Raw genomic sequence first — 8,753 nt, forward strand, 5'->3', positions numbered from 1 at the left:
ACTTCCGGGCCCAAACACTGAAGACAGTATGTGCCTCCCCCATCCCTCTTATCCCCTGCCACTGTGACCAGACAGTCCATGTACCCTAGATGGCATACCTACAAGATGGAAGAGGATCTGTCCATCCTCATCAAAGCAGGAAATACAAAGCTTCACTGTGTGAAGACACTGAAAACTGGGGTCTTATTTGTCACTGCAGCATGGCCTGGCTTAGCCTGACTACTATGGAAATTGAGGCCTAGAGAGGGGAAGTATGGATATGAGTAGCCCTGATAATGTATGTCAGATCCCCGCTCATTCAGGAAAGCAGATCAAAGCAAGTAACATGGTAGGAATTTCTGCTATAGGGTGATGATCATGCAGCATTGACCCTCTTGCTGTCATGCTTTATAATTAACAAAATCTATTCATGACCAGAGTCATATAGTGAGGGAATAAGGGAGTCAAAAAGTAAAATCCAGGACTTCCCCCACACACTGCCTGATTGCCTATGCTTTTAGAATACTGATATCTTTTTAAAAGGTTATAACTCTCTTTTATCCTCCCCTTTCCAAAAAAAAAAAAAAAAAACTGATTGGCATAGGCTTATTTTTTCCCACAGGTTTATTTTCATAGAATATTTATTTCAATATTTAAATTTTGTCTAGAGAAGGTTCCAATAGCCTGGAGATCATTGGAGGTACCCGAGGAGTCATGGGTACCGGGGCTGGGAAACTCCGCCCTTGGGGGGATCCCTGGCTGAGAGAATCCCCTTGGTCGGTCCCCACAGAGGTACAGCACCCACTGTCCCACTCAGACCAGCAAATGAAGAAGTTGGATTAGACCACATCAAAGCAAGATTTCTTCAAAAAAATCCAAATCAGATCCAGGTTCCTCTTCTTGAGACCACAGAGAGTGGGTGAAGGGTGCCTTCTGTGACTGCTTCCTCTTTCAACAAAAAGGGGAATGGCTGTAGGCCTGAGGGTGGCTGTTTATGTCTGGGAGAAGGTGACAAGTTAAAGACCAGGGTTGGGGACTCATGCTCTCTGGGGCTCTGTGATGTCCAAATTGCAGCCTCTACCACAGGGAGCCCCAGCTCTGCTGAGAGGCCCAAGCCCTCTGTAGCCCCAACCCTGGCTGCCCAGCCAGGCCCACCTGATCTGGGATGTCGCCTCTCACCTTCGCCTGCCCTCCCCTCCCTGTCAACACCCAGATGGGGAACCCACCCCTCAGGTCCCATTTCCCCTCTAGCTCCTTCCTCCTGGGAACTCCATGGTCTGACTTCCATCTTTACCTTGATTCTAAAACTATTCCAACCAAGGATGTCACTGAGATGCTATTGCCAAACAGAAAGACCTTAAGTTCAACCAGGCCCCATCACTTGCAAGTTTGTAGCCTTCGTTCGGCAAGTTATTTTCCTTCTCTGGTCTCAGTTTCCTCACCTGTAAAATGAGAATGATAATAATAGGACCTGCCTCATAGGGTTATTGTAAGGACTAAATGAGGTAATGGGAGTAAAGCACTTGTCAAAATGCCTCCTTCACATAGTCTATCATGCGATGAGTATAAGTTAACAATCCTTCATCCAAAAGCCCAGTATTTTTTCTTCTTTTAGGAGGTAATATGGTGCATAGGCTGTCTTTAGTATATGTCCCCCAGTGGGTGCCAAGTCAGGGCCTCACAATCAGACACATTCATGATGCTGCAGTGACCATGTCAACTTTTACTTGGAGGGACTTCAGACTGCAAATAGCCTCTCCAGTTCAGATCAGATTTTGCTGCTAAATGAGATTTGGCACCAAATTGACAAAATGAAGAAACAAACAACAACAACAGCAAAAACAAACAAACAAACAACCCTTTTCGTCCCTGGGATCTTTGGGTTTCAGGCTTGCAGATAGGGAATTATGAGTTTGTGTTAGTATTATTCCTATTTACACAACTAGATTTTCCTGTCACCTAGAACACAGAATGGACTCAATGACTCCTTCCTAGGAAGTCCTGACTCCAGAGGTCTTCCAGACTCTCCTCCACCCTAACTCTCTCCCTTTGGCTCCTACAGCCCTGGAGCCAAGGTAATGCAACCGAAGATAGTTTTATACCAATATCTGCTGCAGAGCCCCATGTACCTTAGTTAATCCTATGAGGGCAAGAATAGCATTTTCTACTTCTCTGATCTTCTTAGTGACAAGTAAAGAGCTGAGTACACAGTCAGTGCTTAATACATGCATCCTACATGAATACTGCTGACCTCTCTATGCCTCTGTTCTAATCTTGGCTCACTTGGTGCTGGAAGAGGTAGCGCAGTGTACAGAAACCATGTAGCTTCTGGGTTCGGCCAAGCCTGAATTTTAGCCTACTCAGGCACCTCACTGCTTGTATGTTTCTGTCTGTCTAGAAGGCTCCACTTCACATCCATAAAATGAACATAGTAACCCACTGTGCAGGGTTTTCCCCAAAAGAAGCCGTCTGTGTAATACACCTTGCACAGGGCCTGGTGCTCACTGGGAAAATGATAGAACTTGAGTCACAGGGTCGTTGTGAGGATTACACGAATGAAAGTTTATGTGGGTCTTAAACGCATGTTCTGCACGGTCAATTTTTTTTTTTTTTTGCTATATTTGAGAGTTATAATTTTGCCCCTTTTTTGTGATAAATATATATAACATAAAATGTGGCCAGGTGTGGTGGCTCACACCTGTAATCCCAGCACTTTGGGAGGCCGAGGCGGGCAGATCATGGGGTCATGAGTTCGAGACCAGCCTGGCCAACGTGGTGAAACTCCATCTCTACTAAAAATACAAAAATCAGCCGGGCGTCGTGGTGGGCACCTGTAATCCCAGCTACTTGGGAGGCTGAGGCAGGAGAATCGCTTGAACCCAGAAGGTGGAGGTTACAGTGAGCCGAGACTGCGCCACCGCACTCCAGCCTGGGCGACAGAGCGAGACTTCACCCCCCGCCCTCCAAGAAAAGTATCATTTACCCATTTTAAGTGCAAGTTCAAAGGCATTAAGGACATTCACACTGTGTGCAACCATCACCACTTTCTATTTTCAGAACTTTTCCATCTTCCCCAACTGAAGTTCCACATCCATTAACCAACAATTCCCTGTTCCTTCCTACCTCCTTCCCCCAGTTACGTCTAATCTACTTTCCGTGTCTATGAATTTTTCTGCTCTAGGTACCTCGTATAAGTGGAATCATACAATATTTGTTCTTTTGTGACTGGCTTATTTCACTTTAACATAATGTTTTCTAGGTTCATCCATGTTGTAGTATGTATCAATGTTCTTCCTTTTTAAGGCTGAAACATTTAATTTGCTTATCCATTCATCCACAGGTGGAAACTGGAGTTTCTTCCACCTTTTGCCTATTGTGAATAGTGCTGCTAGGAACATGGCTGTACAAATACCAGTTCAAGTCCCTGTGTCAATTATTTTGGGTAAGTACCTAGGAGATCATCTAGTAATTCCATGTTTAATTGTTTGAGGAACTGCAACACTATTTTGCACGGCAGCCTCAGCGACACTTGTTATTTCTTCACCCATCCGTTCATTCAACAAATAATTAATAAGTGTCAACTATACGCAGGCACCACACTAGGTTCTGGGGATACAGGGAAGTCCAGTGTGGCAGCACACAGTAGGCCCGCAGGGACCAGCAACAGCTACGGATGCACCCCTTGGGCTTCTCCCCTGCTTTGCTGCCCGGTTAATTTCAGCACGGTCTTCCCCATTTAATTCACCTTACCTGGTAACTCCTCCGTGTCTTTCTTGGGGCTGTCCACCGATCTGAGGCTTCCTTCTCAGCATCTTTCCCATTTCACAGTTGTCTCTCCCACCACACTTCTAAAACTTCCGCCTGCGCCTGCACGCTGAGAAAAAGCCCTTCTCAGACTCCACTTGCTCATGCCTTTCTACCTCTTAAGGTTTCTTTGAACAAAATCACCCTTCCGAAGCTTGCAGAAGCTCTTGGCTATTACTGAGCTCTTCCTTGCTAATCCCGGGTTTTACCCTCTCTCCCATGTCATGGATCTTCATTACTGTCTAGTCCCCTAAGCAGGTTCCCCAGCATCCTCACATACCCCTCGCTTTTCATTTGTCCCTTTGTCATACGTCTCCCCAGCTGCCCTGGAATCCCTGCCAGACCCAGCCTTCCTTCAAAGTGCAACAAAAGCTGGATTTTTTATCCAAACATATGAAACCCAAAGTCATGTTGTTTCATGAAGCCTTTTGCGATGAATCCCCCAGAGCTTCAGGTACCCCCTGTTTCACAAAATCAATTTGATTTTAACAGATTTCTGTTTGCAAATCCTCACCTGATTCACCTGATGTGAATCCTACCTCTGATTACCATGATAAATTGGAAAAAGGGTTTGATAAAAAATGAGCTCCTGGAAGGTCTCTCAGCATCCTGCTGGGGTAGCTGTTCGACAGTGTTCCATGGGGTACCATGGCCTTTCGCTGTTGCCCAGTGCAGCCCTCTTTCTGCAAGGGTCTGCAGTCTCAGCCTTCCAGAGGTGAGGAGCTGAGCCCCTGCCAGCAAAACGCTTCCTCCTTCTCTACTCTGTGGTGGAGAAATGTTCCTGATGCTTGCTGCTTTCAGCCCTTGTTAGGCCTACCTGCCTCTGGTGTCCCCTGAAGGCCTCCAACTCACATCAGATCTCATCTTTCCTAAATCCCAGCCTTCTCCAGCTACAACTATGGGGAACTTTTGTCTTCCCTTCTCATCACCCCCTTGGTTCTCACAGCTTCCTCGCAGGTCCTCAACCCATAACTGTTTGGGAATTCACGCTTGGACAACCCGAAACATTAGCATACCTAAAACTCACATTTACATTTTATTACTTTATAGGAAAACAATTTACAATACAGCCTACAATACGCTGGGGGAAAAGAGAAATTGACAGACAGAATTTCTCTTTGGTGGGGAGAGTAGGGGATACATACCTACGTATTATTTTTTTACACTTTCTTTTCTTGAGAAAGTGGTTGATGAAGTAAACCAGGCCTGTGGGATGCTAGCTGTCTTATACCTCTGGTGTGTCTGCCTCATTTACCCAAATCCTTTTTTTTAACCGGAGGAATTTTTCCCCAATGGGAAATCCCTGATTTTGCATTCGGAGCTCTCCCAGTTTCATTCCTCCCCTCTTTTTGTTTGTGCATTTATCTGTGAAACACAGCTAGGCTGAAGAGGTGCACCTTGGAGAGCCAGGGTGGAATAGGTGCCAACTTCAGGCTGTGCATTTCTTAGATTCAAACCTTGAAAAAGTATAAATTACCCCCAAAGCCCTAACTGGCCAATTTTGTGCATCAGAAATTTTGTGAGGAGCCTGGGCAATACCACAAGACCCCCGTCTCTACAAAAAATATTTTAAATGATCTGGGTGTGGTGGTGGTCCCAGCTACACAGGAGGCTGAGGCAGGAGGATTGCTTGAGTCCAGTACTTCGAGGCTGCAGTGAGATATGATCACGCCACTGCACTCCAGCCTGGGCCACAGGGCGAGAACCTGTCTCTAAAAAAGAAAAAGAAGGCCCGGCATGGTGGCTCACGTCTGTAATCCCAGCACTTTGGGAGGCAGAGGTGGGTGGATCACGAGGTCAGGTGTTCAAGACCAGCCTGGCGAACATAGCGAAACCCCATCTCTACTAAAAATACAAAAAATTAGCCAGTTGTGGTGGCAGGTGCCTGTAATCCCAGCAACTCGGGAGGCTGAGGCAGGAGAATCACTTGAACCTGGGAGGCAGAGGTTGCAGTGAGCCGAGATCGCGCCACTGCACTCCAGCCCAGGCTACAGTGCGAGACTCCATCTCAAAAAAAAAAAAAAAAAAAGGAGAAAGAAATTCCGTGAGGTAACTTTACATAAACTTGCTGGAATGGGGTTCATAGCCATTTTGTGTGTCAAGTGGGTGGATACTATGTCTGTCACATGACAGCAGGAATGTGTCCTCAAATCCCCAGGGCTCCTGAAGAGCAAGTGCCAAACAGGCCTTTGAGAAAACGACCCTCAGTGGATGCAGGTCTCTCCTCACACTCAGCTCACAGCTTCACCAGGAACACAGCCAAGGCTGAACCCCACCATCAGCGCCCCTCCTCTCAGCCTGCACCAATCAGCAAAGGCTGGTGACACCCGGAGGGACAGAATGCCCAGGAATGCCCTCCAGCCCTTGCAGCGTCCAGAGAAGAAGGTTGCCTCCCTCTCTTTGTGGCTCTGCTAAGATCTCAGAGAAGACAAGGGGAAAATCAAACTAGCAGGCTCTGGAGGAGATGCTGGTCAGGGACCTGCCACTGAAAGCCTGTATACAACCATGCCCGTGTCCAGGTGGCTGCATATAACCATGCCCATCTGCTGTCAGCCAATCTGCTATGCCCCTGCGGCCACGCACCTGTCTAAGGCCACCCTCACTCAACCTTGGATTCCAGCCCCTGGTGTAGCCCAAGGCCCTCACTCTGTGCTGGGTGCTCTCTCTGCCTGATTGGCTTCTCCTCTGCTGAGGCATTCCTCCCAGTGCACAAACATGTTTTACTACCTCCCTCTTAAAAAAGAAATCCCTTGGAACTAGATCGCCCTTCGGCTATCACCCTACTTAGCTTCTTTCTTTTAGAGTCAAATTCCACAAAAGAATTATTATCACAGTCACTACCTCCTCTCCTCCTATCTTTTCTTGAACACTTGAAAACTGGGCTTTGCACTCCATGACCCCCGCTAAAATGGCTCTTGTCAAGCGTCACAATGATACCACCAGTCAATCCTCAGTCAGTCCTCATCCTCCCCCATTGGTCCGAAGCATTTGGCCAAGTGCTTGCTCCCTCCTTCTAGAAATACTTTCTTCTCTTGACTCTCTACCCCTCTAATGCCTGTTTTCAGTCTCCTGGACTCGGTCCCCCTTAGCACAGGAGGTCGCCCGGGCTGCAGCCTAGGGCCTCTTCTTTGCTCTGCCTGCACTCATGCAAGGGTGATCCCTTCCCCTCCCTGCTTTAAATACTGTCCATAGGCTGATGTGTTTGGATCCTGGCTAAGACTGTGCCTAGCAGGGTGATTGTGGATGGGTCATTTCACCCCTCAAATGTAAAATGAGGTTTCTAATAGTACTCCATCATAGAGTTATTAGGAGGGTTAAATGAGTTAGTATTTGTAAAGCATTAAAACAGTGGCTGCTGGGTTTATTAAATAAGTGCTCTTCCACACTTCTTTCCCTAGCCAACTTCAGCTCCCCCTGTAGACCTCGGTGTGCGTGTTTCTTCTAGATATCTGCAGCACCTCCTCCATGGTTACGCTGAGAGGACTGTGGTCAATGCATTATTACCTCTGTGACTGCTGACTTTCTCTCTCCACTGTGCATACATTCCTGGAGAGCAAGGACGAGGTCTCCCGTCATTCCTGCTCTGTCCCCTGCACCCAGGGTGATGCGGTCAGGGTAGCACCTCCATGAATAGTCACTGGACGAATGAACGACCAAATACCTGAATGGATGGGCTTTGCAGCGACTGCTGCATGCTGGGGACTTAACGAAGGGCATGGGCCTCTCCCAAGGAAGAAGCTGCAGAAGGGTCTTGGGAAGGACATGCAGGAGAGCCTGGGCCATGGAGGAGGCTGAGAAACATGTCACCCATGACCACAGCAGAGGCTGCTTTGTCCCTCTGTCCCTCCATGCCTGCTCCTGTGCCCTGGATGACGTGACTTTATCCCACAGGAATGACTGGCGTTCCTGAGACACCTGACACTTGGTGGCTGAGCAGAGCCCCAAGCTAGCCTTCAAGGGGCAGGACCAGGGGTTACTGTTTATACTCAGATCTGGAACTCAGTAATGAGCTGGTGTTCCTTTCTGAAATGACCGACTCCAGGAAGCTTATGCCATGGAGGCGGTGAGAGCAAGGTGTGCCATCAGGCCAGCCTGGGTCTGAATCATGACCCCACTGCTTGTCACCCGTAACCTCAGGAAGAAATGGTTTTAACTCTCTGATTCTTGAGTCGCAAAATAATATTCCCAGTGCCGTTGGGAAGGCAAAATGAGGCACTGTGCTTAGTATATTGTAGAAATGCAAATGTTTACTTCCTTACCTCTAACATGGACTGGAATTCTTCCATAGGTAATGAAAATGGCAGATATTAAGAAGCTCTAGAAAGGAGTGAAGCTTTTACCTTTTGTCCGGTCATAAATTACACGTTTGACCTTGGATAGGATGAATACAAGCATGATTCAATTCACTTCAACTCAACTCAAGGAAAAACTAGTTATATATATGTATGTATAGTTATACATATTTACATTTACTGCAGGCACAGATATGTGCTACAGCCCAAGAAGAAGATGGTGAAATTCCAATTTCATACCTCTCTCTTCTTCTTTCTCTAGAACTTTGTATATAAAGCAACAAAGCACTTCTTAAGGTCTTTAGCGTCCTGCTCTGCTAATCCTATGATTCAGATGGGACGAGCCTGCAGTGGGTAGGAAATTAATCTTGTTGAGCACCAACACTGCCGGCGCCTTCACTTGCTTTCTGATGAAATCTCCACCCCCACCCTGTAATGCAGGTCTTCTGAACACGGAAACAAAGCCCCATCTCTAGAATCCCAGCAGACAGGGCCTCCATGAAGGACTGGAAAATTCCAGCGCCTCAGAGAACACTTAACCTGTCATGAGTGTGGGTGGAGGAGGCGGGAGGGGATACTGGCAGATCTTTAGAAGTCCTCAGCTCTAAAGATATGGCATTGTCTGCAATGTGATTCAAGAGAAAAACATAACAGACTCATAAAATGCAAAACTTACAT

General features: G+C 47.1%; 1 annotated feature.

The window, feature by feature from the left end:
* Positions 617 to 666: an enhancer, noted in NCBI's record as "active region_8613". NCBI's record gives its function as "activates an Ori minimal core promoter by ATAC-STARR-seq in GM12878 lymphoblastoid cells {active_cell/tissue: GM12878}" and the evidence as "EXISTENCE:reporter gene assay evidence [ECO:0000049][PMID:35858748]".

This window comes from Homo sapiens, chromosome 14 (assembly GCF_000001405.40).
Source record: "Homo sapiens chromosome 14, GRCh38.p14 Primary Assembly".
In the NCBI taxonomy this organism is placed as follows: Eukaryota; Metazoa; Chordata; class Mammalia; order Primates; family Hominidae; genus Homo; species Homo sapiens.